The sequence below is a fragment of the Homo sapiens genome, chromosome 19 (genome assembly GCF_000001405.40).
Source record: "Homo sapiens chromosome 19, GRCh38.p14 Primary Assembly".
NCBI lineage: Eukaryota > Metazoa > Chordata > Mammalia > Primates > Hominidae > Homo > Homo sapiens.
In genome coordinates, this window is record NC_000019.10 from 19,355,708 (window position 1) to 19,375,191 (window position 19,484).

Consider the following 19,484-nt stretch of genomic DNA (forward strand, 5'->3'; position numbering starts at 1 on the left):
TGGACAGACGGTCCACCCCCCGTGCAGTTCCAAGCTCAGAATGGACCCAACACCAGCCTGGCCAGCCTCCTGTGAGGCCTTGATGGGGCCATCCAGCTCCGCAGGGCCTGCGCGTCTCCGGCTTCCACCCAGACGGCACTCAAGCCTGCCCCCGAGGCGTGCTTCCTTCCTGATTGTCTCTAGAGCTTCCAAGTCCTGGGAATGTGCGGGGCCAGTCCCTGCCCTCCCAGGAGGGGTGGTAGCCGTTCCCACCTCGCAGCAGGACCCCCAGTGCAGAGGCTCACAGGTGGCACACAGGCGCTGTCTCTCCAGAGCCATCCTTCAGAGTGGACCTCAGTGCCAGTCCTGCCTCAGCATCTGGGTCACGTCGGCCAGGAGTAGGGTGCAGGCCTCCAGCAGGTCCTAATCCTGTGTGCCAGGGCAGGCAGTGCCCCAGGGGCACCACGCCTGACTCTCCATCACCCAGGCCTTGATGCCGAGCGGGAGTAGAGTGTTTCCTCTGCTCAAGGCAATTTCCAGAGCCCGGATGCCAGTTTCTGGCCTGAATTTGGAGGGAAGAAGTAATGGCGCTAGTGTGGGACGAAGCACAGATCCCAGCACTTTTCCCAGCTTTCTCTCCAGCATCAGTCCCTGCAGCAGCTGGGGCCTCTGGTCAGGAACCCTCAGGGACCCAGGAACTCAGCTTCCAAACATCTGCACCTTGACCGGACTCGCCATCCCGCCGTGGGGGTGCAGGTGATTGTAAACACGGGTGTGCATGTGGATGCACACGGGTGTGCGGTGAAGATCTGTGGAGATGGAGCTGGGAGCTGAGGCTCCTGTTGCACCAGCCACCTTCCCCCATCTTGTGGCTGCTGAGGGGCAGGAAGCGGGGGAGTGGGCTCGTCTCCTAAATTTAAGATCACCTCCTCAGCTAGCTTAGAGTGCGTGGCACGGGCCCCCCGCCCCCGAGATCTGGAGCCCAGGGACTTTCTTCCTGGCAGATCTGTGGCCTTCCCTGCTCAGCCTCTTGGTCCCCCCACTCCCTCCACCGCCTCACCTTCCCTGCTGGGTCTCTGGGGCACAGTGTGAAACCCGCACCCTAGCCAGGCCCCAGGGAGCCTCCGCTGGGCCCAGACAGCAGCGTTTGGTTTTATCCACTTTTCTTGGATAATCAGGAGGTGCCCCAGTGGTCACAGTGTGGCATTCCGAGTTGGGGCGGGTGGTCGGGTCAAGATAGCAGCAGCAGGTGTCAGGGCTCAAGACACCACCCCCTCCAGCTTCTGGGGCCCAGGAGCCTCTCCCTGCTACAGGGGGTGGGGGTCCTGCTCAGCAGGGTAGGTGGTGGTTTTAGGTCTTGTCACCCTCACTCAGTGGAACTGCCTCTGGGAGCTTTGGCGTCTGTGACTAAAGGGACGCTGGATTGCTCAGGTCAGCTGCTTGGGGCTCCCAGGCTGGGTGTGCCTTAGCCACAGGCAGGGCTGTCAATAACCCCCTTCCTCACTGGCCACCACCTGACATCAGCACCAGTGACAGGCTGGTCAGAGGGCGGGGCTGGTGAGGGTTTGTCCTAAGAGGACCACCGCCATCTCTGGGTCTCCAGGGGGAGAGCCTGGCCCTGTCCTTTGCTACCCAGGGCTGCCCCCAGGCCCATGAAGCCAATAGGAGAGCGTGTGGCACTGGCCCACAAACTGTCCCTGTCCTGTCTTCCTCCCGAGCCATGGCCTCTGCTAGCTCCACCTTGAAGGAGCCCCCCACATCCTCCCCTACATCCCAGAGATGCCACCACTTGTGTCTCCACAATGTGCTCCTGCCCACCCGGGTTCCGCACTGTCCGACCCCTGCACACCACTCATGTCACCACGGCGTGCATCATGTTCATCCCCATCTATTTATTTAAGCCTTTCTTTGCTTGTAGGGCATTTTGTATGTAGAGCAGTTGAAAACAGAACCTCAGAACTTAACATCTGTCCTGATGTTAAAGTGCTTTTCATGACCACCCTGTTATCTATGTATATGTAAAGTTAAGGATGAGATCTTAAGTTTACAATTAAAAACTCAGTACTCAATATTTAATATTCTACTCGAGCTTTATGGAAGCCAAATCATGTGCATGTGTGTGTGTGCGTGTGTGCAAGCTTTGAACCTCCTTCCACAGCCGCATCTTCTCATGACACAAAGCTTTTGATAAGTACTTTCCTGTGGGTCGCTCAGCGCCTCATAGCATCTCATTCAATTGCAAGAATAGAGGCCAGACACGGTGGCGCATGCCTGTAGTCCCAGCTAACTGGGAGGCTGAGGCAGGAGGATCACTTGAGCCCAGGAGATTGAGGCTGCAGTGAGCATGATCGCGACACTGCACTCCAGCCTGGGTGACGGTGAGACTTTGTCTCAAAAAAAAAAAAAAAAACAATGGAAGGCAGACAGCAAGTCCCTGAGGACACATCACACAGTGTCCTGTAGCTAAGTGTCTAGGAAAAAACAAAAACTCCAAACCCTTCAGTGGATGAGGACAAGGTCGCAGAAAGGCATTCTGTTGACAGATGAACAGCCGAAAGCTGGCCAGACCCTCCTGTATGCCTCTGCCCTTGTCCTGTGGGTTGAGGGGGTCTGACCAGGAGGCCACCTACAGCAGGAAGTGAGGCTGCCATGTTTCCTTGAGACACAGCTGCCTCTCCCCAGCTCTGTCCCTGTAGTCACCTGCCGGTGGGCGAGGATCCTCTCCCTGGGATAAGCACTCCCAGCCCCGTTTATCAGAAACACAGGCAAGGAAATTGGAACTGCCACCCAGCCCAGCATGGTGGCTCAATTGGTTGGTTGCGTTGTCAGTTGTCTCTTCGTTTTGTTAAGGTTTTTAATAAGTACGTTTGGCATAATGTCTTTTAATGGGTTTGTAATATTTGTAACGGTTTTAGCAGCCTATAACTTTTCAGCTGGTGCTTTTACTTAGGGAAAAAAACAATTTGTAAATACAGAACATTGTTTAAAAGACATAACCATAGAACATAGCTTCCTGTTTGTGGATTTTGTTTCCTATATATTCAAAGTAAAATGACTTACAGGAGCCACGTGCTGTGTCTTTGTTGTTTCCTCTGTCCGCTTTGTGAGCCATCCCAAAGACGGCTGCCACCCTTGCTGCCATGCCCACAGGGGCCCCCTCTGTGGCGGGGTCTTCAGCATGAGGATGCAGTCCCCAAATCCTGAGCCAGATGACGTGAATGGAAGCCTGAGTCCCCATCTCCTCCACTGATCATTTTCCTCTGGTCTGGCCTCGCCTAGAGAGGAAGGAACCCCATGCTCCATCAGCATATGAGGCCTTCAGCAGCCTGCTCCTGGAATCCTCCCTTCCCAGCCCTCTCAGGGGCAGACTCCCTCATGCACCCAGGTGTCCTGGTCCCTGTGTTTTTTTTTGTTGTTGTTGTTGTTTGAGATGGAGTCTTGCACTGTCGCCCAGGCTGGAGTGCAGAGGCGCGATCTCTGCTCACTGCAACCTCCACCTCCCAGGTTCAAGCGATACTCCTGCCTCAGCCTCCCAAGTAGCTGGGATTACAGGTGCCCGCCACCAAGCCCAGCTAATTTTTTGTATTTTTAGTAGGAACAGCATTTCACTGTGTTGGCCAGGCTGGTCTTGAACTCCTGACCTCGTGATCCACCTGCCTTGGCATCCCAAAGTGCTGGGATTACAGGCCTGAGCCACCGCGCCCAGCCGGTCCCTGCATTCTTAGAGGGGACCAGCCTCCATACACCTGGGAGTGAGGGGAGTTATTTGCCCAGATTTTTTTGTTTGGAGGTGAAATTACCATAACAAATTTAACTTTTTTTGCAGGTTGTGCTGGCTTACGCCTGTAATCCCAGTACTTTGGGAGGCCGAGGCAGGAGGATCCCTTGAGCCCAGGAGTTCAAGAACAGCCTGGGCTACATAGTGAGACCTAGTCTCTACAAAAAATGTATAAAAATTAGCCAGGCAACCAGGTGCCGTGGCTCAAGCCAGTAATCCCAGCACTTTGGGAAGCCGAGGTGGGCGGATCACTTAAGGCCAAGAGTTGAGACCAGCCTGGCCACCATAGTGAAACCCTGTCTCTACTAAAAATACAAAAATTAGCCGGGTGTGGTGGCGTGCACTTGTAGTCCCAGCTACTCAGGAGGCTGAGGCAGGAGATTCACTTGCACCAGGGAGTGGAGGGTTTCAGTGACCCAAGATCCTGATACTGTGCTCCAGCCTGGGTGACAGAGTAAGACTCTCTCTCTCAAAAAATAAATAAATACAAATACAAAATATAAAAATTAGCCGGTATGGTGGCGCACAACTGTAATCCCAGCTACTCGGGAGGCTGAAGCAGGAGAATCGCTTGAACCCGGAGGCAGAGTTTGCAATGAACCAAGATCACACCACTGCCTGGGCGAGAGAGGGAGACTCTACCTCGAAAAAAAAAAATAGCCAGGCATGGTGGTGTGTTCCTGTAGTCCCAGTTACTTAGGAGGCTGAGGCGGGAGGATTACTTGAACCCAGGAGGATATTAGCAGAGACAGAGTCTTGCTCTATTTTATATGTATATAAAATAGTATTATCTGTAAAGTGGACTGCTCAGTGGTATTCAGTACGTTCACAGTGTTGCACAGTTATCATCTCTATCTAGTTCTGGGACATTTTCATTCCCCCAAAAGGAGATTCATTGCCATCAGCAGTCACTCCTCATTCCTCCTCCCTCCCCAAGCCCCTGGCAACTAGTAATCTGCTTCCTGTCTGTGAATTTGCCTGTTCTGGATATTTTATATCAATGGAATCTCATACCCTGTGACCTCTTGTAGCCTGGGATCTCTCAGCACTATGTTTTCAAGGTTCATCTGCACTGTAGCATGGATCATTGCTTTGTTCCTTTTATGAGTGAATAATATCCCATTATATGGATGGACCAAACTGTTGATCTTTTTTTTTTTTTTTTGAGACAGGGTCTTGCTCTGTCACCCAGGCTGGAGTGCAGTGGGTTGATCTCGGCTCACTGCAACCTTTGCTTCCTAGGGTCAAGCAATTCTCCTGCCTCAGTCTCCTGAGTAGCTGGGACTACAGGCGCATACCACCAAGCCCAGATAATTTTTGGATTTTTAGTAGAGATGAGGTTTCACCATATTAGCCAGGCTGGTCTCAGACCCCTGACCTTGTGATCCACCTGCCTCGGCCTCTCAAAGCGCTGGGATTACAAGCATAAGCCACTGCACCCGGCTTTTTTTTTTTTTTCTTGAGACAGGATCTTGCTCTATAGCCCAGTGCAGTGGTATGATCTCAGCTCACTGCAACCTCCACCTCCCAGGCTCAAGGGATCCTCCCACCTCAGCCCCCCAAATAGCTGGAATGACAGGCACCACCATGCCAGGCTAATTTTTCTATATTTTCTAGACATGGGGTTTCACCTTGTTGCCCAGGCTGGTCTTGAACTCCTGGACTCAAGTGATCTGCCCGCCTTGGCCTCCCAAAGTGCTGGGATTACCACCGTGAACCACGGTGCCCGGCCTTATCCATCCTTTTATGGACATTCGGGTTGCTTCCCCCTTGTGGCGACTGTGAATAGTGCTGCTCTGTGAGTTTTGGCTGGACCACGTGTTTTCAATTCTCCTGGGCTTTCCCTGTGTCTTTATTGTGGACAGACAGGGCCGCTCAGCACACACATATGGTGTGAAGGCCCTCATGTCACTCTCAGGTTAGTTCCCCATGAGAGATACACAAGCCATCTTAGCCTCGAGCCCCAAGGGGCTCTGCTGGATGTGCAACGTTTTTGTATTTTGTTTTGCTATGTGTCGTTTAGAGACAGAGTCTCACTCTGTTGCCCGGGCAGGAGTGCAGTGGTGCAATCACTTGAGCCTCACTGCAGCCTCAAACGCCCTGGCCCAAGCGACCCTCCTGCCTCATCCTCCTGTGTAGCTGGGACTATAGATACGTGCCACCACACCCGGTTAATTTTTTTTTTTTTTTTGAGATGGAGTCTTGCACTGTTGCCCGGGCTGGAGTGCAGTGGTGTGATCTCGGCTCACTGCAACCTCTGCCTCCCAGATTCAAGAGATTCTCCTGCCTCAGCCTCCCGAGTAGCTGGGATTACAGGCACCTGCCTCCATTCCCAGCTAATTTTTTTGTATTTTTTAGTAGACACAGGGTTTCACCATGTTGGCCAGGCTGGTCTCCAACTCCTGAGCTCAAGCAATCCTCCCACCTTGGACTCCCAAAGTGCTGGGATTACAGTCGTGAGACACCACACCGGCCCTGTGCGAGTGTTTGAGTCTCAACATGGTGATCACAGCACCCCAACCATCGATGCCTGGGCTCCTTCTGCCCCATCCCCACCAGTTCAGCACCAGGCAGCCTTTTCACTCAAGGTAGACTCTGCTTATCCTTCATCATCAGCTTGGACATCATCTTCTCCAGACAGACAGGCAGGGGCCCATCTGGCCCATCTCATACCTCTCCAGCCCCTGCATGGGATTCACATCTTGAACCTGAGCTGGACCAGAGCACAGCATGACGAGCCTGCCATGGGACCAGCCACCTTTCCAGCAGGTGTGCAGCCCCCAGCTGGGAGGTGTGAACCTGCATGTGGACAGCAGGTCTATCCTGGGTTGACCAATGTTTCACACAAAGCCTACACCCAGGCAGTCACCTTGGCCTGGGCGCCCGGCAGACTAGGGTCACACAGCTCCTCCTGTTGAGTCATTTCCGAGTAGGCTATGCCCTGTGCAGCATCCATGGGACCCTGACTCAGGAAGTGAGTGACCTTCCTTTTCCCACAAGCCATGTCCTCATCCATGTCATCCCTCATCCACTTAGAGGATGAGGCGGGAGGGAGGTTGAGGCAGGAGGATCGCTTGAGCCCAGGAGGTTGAGGCTGCAGCAAGCTATGATCGCCCCACTGCACTCCAGCCTGGGTGACAGAGTGAGACCCGCTCTCTAAACAAAACATAGTGAAACAAAAAACAAATGATAGAAGCCAGATGTGGTGGAGCATACCTGTAGTCCCAGCTCCTTAGGAGGCTGAGATGGGATGATGGTTCAGGTCCAAAAGTTTGAGACTAGCCTGGGCAACGTAGCAAGACCCCGTCTCTATAAAAAATAAAACATCTGCCTGTAATCCCAGTACTTTGGGAGGCCGAGGCAGGCGTATCACTTGAGGCCAGGAGTTTGAGACCAACCTGGGCAACGTAGCAAGACTTTGTCTCTATAAAAAATTTAAAATCAGCTGGACGTGGTGGCTCATGTCTGTAATCCCACCATGTTGGGAGGCCGAGGCAGGTGGATCACCTGAGGTCGCGAGTTCAAGACCAATGTGGCCAACATAGCGAAACACAGTCTCTACTAAAAATACAAAAATCAGCTGGGTGTGGTGCTGCACGCCTCTAATCCCAGCTACTTGGAGGCTGAGGCAGAAGACAGTGACCCCAGGAGGCAGAGGTGGCAGTGAGCCAAGATGGCACCATTGTACTCCAGCCTGGGTGATGGAGTGAGACTCCATCTCAAAAAAAAAAAAAAATTAAAATCAGCCAGGCATGGTGCCTCACGCCTGTAATCCCAGCACTTTGGGAGGCCAAGGCAGGGAGATCATTTGAGGTCAGCAGTTTTTTTTGTTTTGTTTTGTTTTGTTTTTGTTTTGTTTTGTTTTGTTTTTGAGATGGAGTCTCGCTCTGTCGCCCAGGCTGGAGTGCAGTGGCGCGATCTCAGCTCACTGCAAGCTCTGCCTCCTGGGTTCACGCCATTCTCCTGCCTCAGCCTCCTTAGTAGCTGGGACTACAGGCGCCCGCCACCGCGCCCAGCTAATTGTTTGTATTTTTAGTAGAGATGGGGTTTCACCGTGGTCTCCATCTCCTGACCTCGTGATCCGCCCGCCTCGGCCTCCCAAAGTGCTGGGATTACAGGCATGAGCCACTGCGCCCGGCCGAGGTCAGGAGTTTGAGACCAGCCTGACCAACATAGTGAAACCCTGTCTCTACTAAAATATAAAAATTAGCCAGCCGTGGTAGCGGGTGCCTGTAATCTCAGCTACTCGGGAGGCTGGGGCAGGAGAATCGCTTGAACCCAGGAGGCAGAAGTTGCAGTGAGCCAAGATCACGCCACTGCAGTCCAGCCTGGGCAACAGGGCAAGACTCCCTCTCAAAAATAAATAAACCTGGCAGGGCGAGGTGGCTCACACCTGTAATCCCAGCACTTTGGGGGGCCAAGGCAGATGGATCACCTAAGCTCAGGAGTTTGAGACCAGCCTGGCCAACATGGTGAAATCCCATCTCTACTAAAAATACAAAAAAATTAGCCGGGCATGGTGGTGGGCACCTGTAAATCCTAGCTACTCAGGAGACTGAGGCATGAGAATCGCTTGAATCCGGGAGGTTGGAGGTTGTGGTGAGCTGAGATCAGGCCACTGCCCTCCAGCCTGGACCACAGAGTGAGATTCCATCTAAAAAAAAGTAATAATAAAATAAATAAAAATAAAAATAAAATAATGCAAAAATTAGCCAGCCACGGTGGTGCACACCTGTAATCCCAGATACGTGGGAGGCTGAGGCAGGAGAATCACTTGAATCCAGGAGGTGGAGGTTGCAGTAAGCCAAGATCACGCCACTGCAGTCCAGCCTGGTTGACAGAGCTAGACTCCCTCTCGAAAAAACAAAAAAAACACTTTTTTTTTTAAATTTAAAATTGCCAGGCGGCCGGGCATGGTGGCTCATGCCTATAATCCCAGCACTTTGGGAGGCCGAGGCAGGTGGATCACCTGAGGTCAGGAGTTCGAGACCAGCCTGGCCAACATGGTGAAACCCCGTCTCTACTAAAAATACAAAAATTAGCAGGGCTTGGTGGTGGGTGCCTGTAATCCCAGCTACTCAGGAGGCTTGGGCAGGATAATCACTTGAATCTGGGTGGCAGAGCTGAGATCGCGCCGCTGCACTCCAGCCTGGGTGACAGAGCGAGACTCCGTCTCAAAAAACAAAAAAAAAAATTGCTAGGCATAGTGGTGTGTGCCTATAGTCCCAGCTACTCAGGAGTCTGAGGTGGAAGGATTGCTTCAGCCTGGGAGGTCGAGGCTGCAGTGAGCCACGATTGCAGCTCTGCAATCCAGTCTGAGCAACAGAGTGAGAACCGGTCTCTAAAAATAATAATAAAAATAAAAAAGAAAATGGACAACTTTCTTTTGAACACAGCTTCTAGAACCCAGCACCTGAGGAAATATACGCAGGCAGAAATCCTCGCAGTGGCCACCTCACATCCTGTCTCCTCCTATTCCGGCTGCTTTGACAAATTACCATAGACTGAGGGGCTTACAAACAACAAATACTTATTTCTTACTGATCTAGAGGCTGGGAAATTCAAAATCAAGGTGCCAGCAGATTCGGAGTCTGGCGAGGGCCTGCTTCCTGGTTTGCTTCCCGCTCTCTAGCTCCACCCTCATGACATAATCATCTCCCAGAGGCCCCACCTCCAAAATACAATCACAGGCTGGGTGCAGTGGCTCACGACTGTAATCCCAAAACTTTGGGAGGCCAAGACAGGAGAATCACTTGAGCTCAGGAGTTCAAGAGCAGCCTGGGCAACATGGTGACACCCTGTCTGTACAAAAAATACAAAAAAATTAGCCGGGCATGGTGGTGCGCACCCATAGTCCCATCTACTGGGGAAGCTGAGGCAGAGGATCACTTGAGCCCAGGAGTTCAAGGCTGGAGTGAGCCATGATCCCACCACGGCATTCCAGCCTGAGCGACAGATCAAGACCCTGTCTGAAAAATAAATAAAAAACAGAGGACCGAGCGCAATGGCTCACGCCTGTAATCCCAGCACTTTGGGAGGCCAAGGTGGGCAGATCATGACGTCAGGAGATGGAGACCATCCTGGCTAACACGGTGAAACTCCGTCTCTACTAAAAATACAAAAAATTAGCCGGCCCTCGTGGCGGCAGAGCTTGCAGTGAGCCGAGATCATGCCACTGCACTCCAGCCTGGGTGACAGAGTGAGACTCAGTTAAAAAAAAAAAAAAGAAAAAACAGGCCAGGCGCGGTGGCTCACACCTGAGCTGAGATCGTGCTGTTGCACTCCAGCCTGGGTGACAACAGCGAGACTCCGTCTCAAAAAAAAAAAAAAATACAATCACATTTCAACATAAGAATATTGAAAGAGGAGGGACACGGTGGCTCATGCCTGAATCCCAGCACTTTGGGAAGCCAAGGCGGGAAGACTACTTGAGGTCAGGAGTTCAAGACCAGCCTAGCCAACATGGTAAAACTCCATCTCTACTAAAAATACAAAAATTAGCCAGGTGTGGTGACAGGAGCCTGTAATCCCAGCACTTTGGGATGCCTAGGTGGGCGAATCACCTGAGGTCAGGAGTTCCAGATCAGCCTGGTGAACATGGTGAAACCTCATCTCTACTAAAAATACAAAAATTAGCTGGGTGTAGTGGCAGGTGCTTGTATTCCCAGCTACTCGGGAGGCTGAGGCAGGAGAATTGCTTGAACCTGGGAAGCGGAGGTTGCAGTGAGCCGAGATCTCACCATTGCACTCCAACCTGGGTGACAAGAGGGAAACTCCACCTCAAAATAAATAAATAAATAAATAAATAAGATGAAGTTTCTTATTTCGTCCCAAATTTATGCTCACATGGTGAGATTACAATGAAATTGGCTGGGAAAGGAAAGGAAAAGGTTAATTTCCACATGAATTTTATTTTCTTAGTACTCTGATTTTTTTGATTTTTTTTATTTTTATTTTTTTTTTTTGAGATGGAGTTTCGCTGGTTGCCCAGGCTGGAATGCAATGGTGCAATCTCAGCTTACAGCAACCTCTGCTTCCCAGGTTCAAGCGATTCTCCTGCCTCAGCTTCCTGAGTAGCTGGGATTACAGGCGCACACCACCACGCCCAGCTAATTATTTTGTACTTTTAGTGGAGATGTGGTTTCACCATGTTGGCCAGGCTGGTCTGGAACTCCTGACCTCAGGTGATCCACCCGCCTCGGCTTCCCAAAGTGCTGGGATTACAGGTGTGAGTCACTATGCCCGGCCAGGGATAGTCCACTTTGTCAGTGTGTGTTTGTTGTGAACGTCGTCTCTAACCACAGTTCCTTACACTCAGTGTTTCTGCAGCGCAGGGTTCAGGCTCCATCTGCAGTTAGGCACACTCTGTCCAGAGTGAGTCTCTGTGTGGCCTTGGCGCTGTCCTGCTATTCCAGGGTTCTGAGCACAAATCCTCCCCTAAAGGGTTAAGCACAAACTGTTCAGAAGTCCTGTCGTGAACCGGAAGTGTATCTCCCACTCTGTCTTCATCTGCAAGTGTCCTCAGTTGCTACTGGCGGCCCCTGGCCTGCTCTGGCCTTGGCCACCAGGGGGCATGGTGGCCCAGGAGCAGCAAGGGCTGCCCAGGCAATGTCCCCACCAGGTAGGACAGGTGGGAACCTACAATCCAGCTAGAAAGACTGGGCTGGATGTTGCCAGACCCCAGTCTGGCCAGGCTTTGCTCATCTGCAGGGATGTGGGGTGACCTTCACACCACTCCTGTAACTGTTGGAGAAGACAATGGCCAGGGTTCTCCGGGCGTCAGGGTGACACCATTCCCTCCTTTACTTGCCAAACATGTATTAAGCACCTACTGTGCGCTGGATGCTGGGAACACAGCAGAGACCACATCAGACAATGTCTGATGCCCTCAGAGGGTGGACATAGTTCCCCTGATGACGGGTTTCAGAAGGGAGGGAGTGTTGACCATCTGTGAGAAGGGAGTGTCGCACAGTAGGTGGGGGACAACCACAGGGGAGGAGGTGGGGGACGCTGTGACAAGACCAAAAGGAGGGCTGGGAGCGATGGTTCATGCCTATAATTCCAGCACTTTGGGAGGCCGAGGTGGGCAGATCACCTGATGTCAGGAGTTTGAGACCAGCCTGCCCAACATGGTGAAACCCTGTCTCTACTTAAAATACAAAAAATTAGCCAGGCATGGTCGTGGGCGCCTGTAATCCCAGCTACTCAGGAGGCTGAGGCAGGAGAATTGCTTGAACCTGGGAGGTGGAAGTTGCAGTGAGCCAAGGTCACGCCATTGCACACAGCCTGGGCAACAAGAGCAAAACTCCGTCTCAAAAAAAAAAAAAAGGAGGCAAGCAGGCCCCCCTTGGGCCAGCTGATCAGAGCTGGACAACATTCCAGCTTCGGCGATGGGGCCACCAAGACCCAGGCATCTGGGGAATTGTGTCCCCTACTGGCACAGTTGAGTGACTCGGGTGGGGACTGCAGGCTCTGGTCCTGGTCCCCTCCTGTCTGGCCACCCCTCAGGGGACACTGGGAGGGTATCGCGGCTACCAGGCTGCCTGTCGCATTTATGGAGGGCCAGTCCACCACCACCTTGTACTCAGCTGACATCTGGAAGCACATCCAGGAGGACACTGAAGGCTCAGAAAGTGCCTGGGCCCCTGTGTTCAGGTGTGAAATCAAATCTCTGAGGCCCCAGACCAGAGCCATCATCCTTCTGCCCCCACTGGACTGAGACTCACATGCCCAGAACTGCACTTGTGGATGATGGTGGTACATCCAGGGCAGAATACACGGCAGACAGGTCAGCTGATGACAGTGTCTGCTGGCCAGGGTCAGTCCCTGACTCTCTTGTATAATGTGTAACCCAACAGCGCGTGCCCAGGGGGCTGGGGCACTCCAGACACCGGCCCAGGCCCTGGCTTGACTCAGGCCTGACCCTAAAGGAACCCGAGTAAGTGTCTCAGAGCCGGGTCCTGGATCCAAATGCCCCTAATACTTCACACACCGGCCACCATGCTGCTTCCTGAGCAACCTGCTCCCCAGGAAAAGTGACCTAATCACTCCAGGCTGTTCTTCTCCGGAGCATCCTCTGGTACCCACCGAAGGAAGTGACCCCTGAGTCCTACTCAGCTCCTCCACTCACGGGATTTTTTTTTCTTGGCAACTAGTTCTCCCTATACCCAAAACCTATATGACAAGAGGATCCTTTTTATTAAAAAAATTTTTTTGCCAAGTGCGGCAAAAAATCCCAGCACAGGCCGGGCACGGTGGCTCACGCCTATAATCCCAGCACTTTAGGAGGCCGAGGCGGGTGGATCACGAGCTCAGAAGGTCGAGACCATCCTGGCTAACACGGTGACACCCCATCTCTACTAAAAATACAAAAAATTAGCCGGGCGTGGTGGTGGGCACCTGTGGTCCCAGCTACTCAGGAGGCTGAGGCAGGAGAATGGTGTGAACCCGGGAGGCGGAGCTTGCAGTGAGGCAAGGTCACGCCACTGCACTCCAGCCTGGGCGACAGAGCGAGACTCTGTCTCAGAAAAAAAAAAAAAAAATCCCAGCACTTCGGGAGTCTGTAATCCCAGCACTTTGGGAGGCCAAGAGTTTGAGACCAGCATAGCCAACATGGTGAAACCCCGTCTCTACTAAAAATACAAAAATTGGGCACGGTGGCTCACACCTATAATCCCAGCAATTTTCGAGGCCAAGGCGGGTGGATCACCTGAGGTCAGGAGTTCCAGACCAGCCTGGACAACATGGTGAAACCCCATCTCTACAAAAAATACAAAAATTAGCCGGGCATTGGTGGTTTGTGCCTGTAGTTCCAGCTACTTGGGAGACTAAGGCTGGAGAATCACTTAAACCTGGGAGGTGGAAGTTGCAGCAAGCCAAGATTGCACCACTGCACTACAGCCTGGGCGAAGAGTGAGAATCTGTCTCAAAAAAAAAATTTTTTTCTCTTTGGTCATGTGCGGTAGCTCACGCCTGTAATCCCAGCACTTTGGGAGGCCAAGGCAGGTGGATCACTTGAGGTCAGGAGTTCCAGACCAGCCTGGCCAACATGGTGAAACTCCCGTCTCTACTAAAAATACAAAAATCAGCTGGATGTGGTGGTGGGCACCTGTAATCCCAGCTACTTGGGAGACTGAGGCATGAAAATAGTTTGAACCTGGGAGGCAGAGATTGCAGTGAGCTAGGATCATGCCACTGCACTCCAGCCTGGGAGACAGAAAGAAATTCTGTCTTAAAAAAAAAAAAAGGGGGGGGTGGCAGGCGCAGTGGCTTACGCCTGTAATCCCAGCACTTTGGGAGGCTGAGACAGGCGGATCACATGAGGTCAGGAGTTCGAGACCAGCCTGGCCAACATGGTGAAAACCCTGTCTCTACTAAAAACACAAAAAATTAGCCAGGCGTAGTGGTGGGTGCCTATAATTCCAGCTACTCAGGAGGTTGACGCAGGAGAATTGCTTGAACCCGGGAGGTGGAGGTTGCGGTGAGCCGAGATCGCACCATTGCACTCCAGCCTGGGCAACAAGAGCAAAACTCTGTCTCAAAAAAAAAAATTTTTTTTTTTTGGCCAGCGTCAATGGCTCATACCTGTAATCCCATCACTTTGGGAGGCCGAGGCAGGAGGATCACTTGAGCCCAGAAGTTTCAGACCAGCCTGGCAACATGATGGGACCCTATCTCTACATAAAATTTAAAAATTCACCAGGTGCAATTAGGCCTGGTCCCCCTCCTCTCTGGCCACTCCAATCTAAAGTCAAATTGAAAAAAAATGTTGGGGCTGGGTACGGTGGCTCACGTCTATAATCCCAGCACTGTAGGAGGCCGAGGCGGGTGGATCACTTGAGGTTAGGAGTTTGAGACCAGCCTGGCCAACATGGCGAAATCCCATCTCTACTAAAAATGCAAAAATTAGCCAGGTGTGGTGGCGGGTGCCTGTAGTACCAGGTGCTCAGGAGGCTGAGGCACGAGAATCTCTTGAACCTGGAAGGTGGAGATTGCAGTGAGCCAAGATTGTGCCACTGCACTCCAGCCTGGGCAACAGGGCGAGACTCTGTCTCAAAATAAATAAATAAATAGATAAATAAATAAATAAAAATAAAATAATTTTTGTGTGTGGAGACAGGGTCTTACTCTATTTCTCAGGATGAAGTGCAGTGGCATGATGTAGCCAGGAACTGGAGCTTCAAACTCCCAGGCCCAAGCAATCCTCCCTCCTCAACCTCCCAAGTAGCTTGGACCATAGGCAGGTGCCATCACTCCCAGCTAATTTTTTAATTAATTTATTTATTTTTGTTGTTGTTGTTGTTTGTTTGTTTTGAGACGGAGTCTCACTGTCGCCCAGGCTGGAGTGCAGCAGCGCAATCTCAGCTCACTGCAACCTCCACCTCCCAGGTTCAAGTGATTCTCCTGCCTCAGCCTCCTGAGTAGCTGGGACTATAGGCCCTCACCGCCGAGCCCGGCTAATTTTTTTTGTATTTTTAGTAGAGACGGGGTTTCACCATGTGGGCCAGGATGGTCTAGATAGAACTCTTGACCTCGTGATCTACCCGCCTCAGCCTCCCAAAGTGCTGGGATTACAGGTGTGAGCCACCACGCCCAGCCTTATTTTAATTTTTTATTGAGACAGGGTCTCACTATGTTACCCACGCTGGTCCTGAACTCCTGGCTTCAAGCAATCCTGCCTCAGCCTCCAAAAGTGCTGGGATTCCAGCCCTGAGCCACTGTTCCTCGCTGAAGGGGATTCTTTTTCAGGGCATTCTTTGTGACACACTCCTTCCCTGGGTGTGTCCTGGAATGTCCGCTGGCCACACCCAGGCCTGGTCTGGCTGTGGGGACACCCACATGCATTGTCAGCCGGGTACGAGACCGGGGTGGGCTTTGCACACAGATCCCACGACTGTATACACTCAGCCCCGTGACAGGAACTGTAGCCCATGGCCACAGCATCTCTTGCTAGAAACTTTTTCAAGAAACTTACCTCAGTACTCAAAGCCACTGCGGTCAGCAAGTGCTGAACATGCCCCAATCCCTAACCTCAGAAAAGGACACTTTCTCTTAACTCCTGTGTAAAGGGTCAGGACTGGTGTCTGGCTGCCGAAGAAACTAAACATCCAGCTTCGCTTTCCCAGGTAACATTTGCTGTATCATCTGTGATGCAGGAGATGGCAATGGTATTATTATTATTATTATTATTATTATTTTTGGAAATGGAGTCTCGCGCTGTTATACTGTTGCCCAGGCTGGAGTACACAGGTGCGATCTCGGCTCACTGCAACCTCCGCCTCCCACGCTCATGTGATTCTCCTGCCTCAGCCTCCCAAGTAGCTGGGACTACAGGCACCCAGCACCACACCTGGCTAATTTTTGTATTTTTGGTAGAGACAGGGTTTCACCATGTTGGCCAGGCTGGACTCAAACTCCTGACTTCAAGTGATCCTCCTGCCCTGGCCTCCCAAAACGCTGGGATTATAGGCGTGAGCCACTATGCCTGTCCGGCAATGGCATTTTGACCAATACAACATGGGCATCTAACTAGAATTGGGGACACCCACACGGGTCATAATTTGGGGCCAAAGTAGAGTTTTTTTTGTTTTTGTTTTTTTTTTGGTAGCGATGAGGTCTCACTATGTTGCCCAGGCAGTTCTCAAACTCCTGGGCTCAAGCGATCCTCCCACCTCAGCCTCTCAAAAGGCTGGGATTACAGGCATAAGCCACCGTGCCCAGCAACATTTTTAACTCTTTTTTTTTAGAGAAAGGGTTTTGCTCTGTCACCCAGGCTGGAGTGCAGTGGCACAATTGTAGCCTACTGCAGCCTCGGCTTCCTGGGCTCAAGGGATCCTCCAGTCTCAGCCTCCAGAGTAGTTAGGACTGCAAATGCACACCACCACACTTAGACAGTTTTTAATTAATTAATTAATTAATTTTGAGACAGAGTCTCACTCTGTCACCCAGGCTGGAGTGTAGTGGTGTGATCTCTGCTCATTGCAACTCCCCATCCCAGATTCAAGTGATTCTCCTGCCTCAGCCTCCAGAGTATCTGGGATTGCAGACACATGCCACCACGCCTGGCTAATTTTTGTATTAATATTTTTAGTAGAAATGGAGTTTTGCCATGTTGGTCAGGTTGGTCTTAAACTCCTGTCCTCAAATGATCCATCTACCTTAGCCTCCCAAAGTGCTGGGATTACAGGGGTAAGCCACCATGTCCAGCCAATTTTTAAATTATTTTTTGTACAGATGGAGTCTTGCTTTGTTGCCCAGGCTGGTCTCAAACTCCTGGCCTCAAGCGATCCTCCTGCCTCAGCCTCCCAAATTGTTGGGGGGTTACAGGCATGAGCTACTGTGCCTGACCTGGAAGTGGATTTTGAAGTGGATTTTGCAGCCTGTTTGTGTCTCCCAAGCCACAAAAGACTCTGACCTTCGTGTTTGACCAGTTCCTTGGAAGGCACCAGTCTGTGTATTAAGTGGATTATCCAAACCCAGACTGACTCCTGGCACATGGAAGATGCTTTGGGATACACTTATACTAAAAGGGTATTCATTCGTGACTGATCTGAAATCCAAATCTAATGGGGCATCCTATATTTTCACTTGCTAAATGTGGCCACCCTAGATGCTCAATGACATCCTTGAATAAAGGAAGCTGATGAAGTTCAAACAAATAATTTTACCAGCGGGGTAAAAAAAGCTCAAAGCTCAGTGCACTTTGCGAAACAGTCATTTCCTCTTCCGGTCAGAATAAACTCCTGACTCCTCCCAGGCCCAAGTGATCAGCCACTCCCTCCTACCAGCTGGCTGGGCTGCTGTGCTCAGTCCCAACTCAGGAAGGACAAGAGTAGCTCCTGTGACCATAATGCCTGTCCACAAGCTGAGGCCCCACCCCACTCCGCCTCCTTTTCTTTTTCTTTGAAATGGAGTCTTGGTCTTTTTGCCCAGGCTAGAGTGCAGTGGCGTGATCTCGGCTCACTGCAACCTCCACCTCCCAGGCTCAAGCGATTCTCCTGCCTCAGCCTCCCAAACAGCTGGGATTACAGGCATGCACCACCACCCCCAGCTAATTTTTGTATTTTTAGTAGAGACAGGGTTTTCACCATGTTGGTGAGGCTGGTCTCAAACTCCTGACCTCATGATCCACCTGCCTCGGCCTCCCAAAGTGCTGGGATTACAGGCGTGAGCCACCGTGCCTGGCCACCCCCTTGCTTTTTAGACACAAGGTCTTGCTCTGTCACCCAGGCTGGAGTGCAGTGGCATAATCTTGGCTCACTGCAGCCTTAAAACTCCTCAAGTGATCTTCTGTCTCAGCCTCCCAAGTAGTTAGGACTATGGGTGCGTGCCACCAACGCGCCTGGCACTGAGACCTGGATTTTTTTTTTTTTTTTTTTGGTGAGATAGAGTCTTGCTCCGTCGCCCAGGCTGGAGTGCAGTGGGGTGATCTTGGCTCACTGCAACCTCCGCCTTCCAGGTTCAAGCGATTCTCCTGCTTCAGCCTCCCAAGTAGCTGGGACTACAGGCGCCCGCCACCATGCCCAGCTAATTTGTGTATTTTTAGTAGAGACAGGGTTTCGCTATGTTGGCCAGGCCGGTCTTGAACTCCTGACCTCGTAATCTGCCTGCCTCGGCCTCCCAAAGTGCTGGGATTACAGGCGTGAGCCACCACTCCCGGCCTGAGACCTGGATCTTAAAAAGGGCTCAGCTGGGTGTAGTCACACACCTGTAGTTCCAGTGACTTGGGAGGCTGATATAGGAGGCTAGCTTGAAGCCCAGGAGTTCAAAGTGAGACTAGCAACATAATGAGACCTCATCTCTTTTTTTTTTTTTTTTTTTTTTTTTTGAGACGGAGTCTTACTCTGTCGCCCAGGCTGGAGTGCAGTAGTGCCATCTTGGCTCACTGCAAGCTCCGCCTCCTGGGTTCATGCCTTTCTCCTGCCTCAGCCTCCCAAGTAGCTGGGACTACAGGCGCCCTCCACCACGCCCGGCTAATTTTTTGTATTTTTAGTAGAGACAGGGTTTCACCATGTTAGCCAGGATGGTCTCAATCTCCTGATCTCGTGATCTGCCCACCTCGACCTCCCAAAGTGCTGGGATTACAGGCGTGAGCCACCGTGCCTGGCCGAGACCTCATCTCTTTAAAAAATAATAATAATAAAGTTGGCTGAGTGTGGTGGCTCACGCTTGTAATCCCAACATTTTGGGAAGCCGAGGTGAGAGGATTGCTTGGGCCCAGGAGTTCAAGGGCAGCCTGGCGAACATAATAAGACTCCCATCTCTACAAAAAAACTTAAAAATTAGCTAGGCGTGGTGGCCTGCACCTGCAGTCCCAGGTATTCGGGAGGCTGAGGTGGGAGGATCGCTTGAGCTGGGGAGGTTGAGGCTGCAGTGAGCTGTGATCATGCCACTGCACTCCAGCCTCAGCAACAGAGCAAGACCCTGTCTCTAAAATCAGAAAGAAAGGAAGAAAAGGCAAAAAGAGGGGAAAAGAAGCCAAGAGAAAGGCTTGAAATGCATGTGGATGAAAGCCCTGACCTGTATTTTAGGCTCAGTTACACTCAGATGTAACTGTGTGTCTGGGATGCAAAAGAGCTCAGATCCTACAGAATCTCAAGGTGAATTCTTTTCCCTGAGTAGCATAAGGCATCTTTTTCCCATCTAACACTGGGTTGGGCTCCTCCCTTCTGTATGCAAAGTGGCCACAAGTGCCCAAAATGAACTCCCTCCAGTTCAGAAATGCATT

General features: G+C 51.5%; 1 protein-coding gene and 1 long non-coding RNA gene across 8 annotated transcripts in view, besides 5 other annotated features; one reads left to right on the top strand and one right to left on the bottom strand.

Annotated features, from left to right (window-relative positions):
* Positions 1–3,047, top strand: part of MAU2 (MAU2 sister chromatid cohesion factor) — a 37,926-nt gene extending 34,879 nt beyond the window's left edge. For all 5 annotated transcript variants that reach the window (NM_015329.4, XM_005259837.4, XM_005259838.5 and 2 more), the window contains one exon: positions 1–3,047. In NM_015329.4, coding sequence (NP_056144.3) covers positions 1–75 — 75 coding nt within the window. In that variant the 3' untranslated portion in view covers positions 76–3,047.
* Positions 3,004–19,484, bottom strand: part of LOC124904656 (uncharacterized) — a 27,427-nt gene continuing 10,946 nt past the window's right edge. Inside the window, exons 1-2 of one of the 3 annotated variants that reach the window (XR_007067161.1) lie at positions 11,070–11,187; positions 3,004–3,254 (exon numbers count right to left, since the gene is read on the bottom strand). This is a non-coding gene — a long non-coding RNA (uncharacterized LOC124904656). Of the gene's footprint in view, positions 3,255–6,973; positions 7,067–11,069; positions 11,188–19,484 lie in introns of those variants that run through there. The other 2 variants (XR_007067162.1, XR_007067163.1) reach the window with 2 other exon arrangements.
* Positions 9,249–9,348: an enhancer, noted in NCBI's record as "active region_14346". NCBI's record gives its function as "activates an Ori minimal core promoter by ATAC-STARR-seq in GM12878 lymphoblastoid cells {active_cell/tissue: GM12878}" and the evidence as "EXISTENCE:reporter gene assay evidence [ECO:0000049][PMID:35858748]".
* Positions 9,369–9,478: an enhancer, noted in NCBI's record as "active region_14347". NCBI's record gives its function as "activates an Ori minimal core promoter by ATAC-STARR-seq in GM12878 lymphoblastoid cells {active_cell/tissue: GM12878}" and the evidence as "EXISTENCE:reporter gene assay evidence [ECO:0000049][PMID:35858748]".
* Positions 11,226–11,275: an enhancer, noted in NCBI's record as "active region_14348". NCBI's record gives its function as "activates an Ori minimal core promoter by ATAC-STARR-seq in GM12878 lymphoblastoid cells {active_cell/tissue: GM12878}" and the evidence as "EXISTENCE:reporter gene assay evidence [ECO:0000049][PMID:35858748]".
* Positions 11,426–11,475: an enhancer, noted in NCBI's record as "active region_14349". NCBI's record gives its function as "activates an Ori minimal core promoter by ATAC-STARR-seq in GM12878 lymphoblastoid cells {active_cell/tissue: GM12878}" and the evidence as "EXISTENCE:reporter gene assay evidence [ECO:0000049][PMID:35858748]".
* Positions 15,157–16,356: an enhancer, noted in NCBI's record as "MED14-independent group 3 enhancer chr19:19481673-19482872 (GRCh37/hg19 assembly coordinates)". NCBI's record gives its function as "activates an origin of replication core promoter dependent on BRD2, BRD4, P300/CBP and CDK7 cofactors, and independent of MED14, by STARR-seq in HCT116 cells {active_cell/tissue: HCT116}" and the evidence as "EXISTENCE:reporter gene assay evidence [ECO:0000049][PMID:35650434]".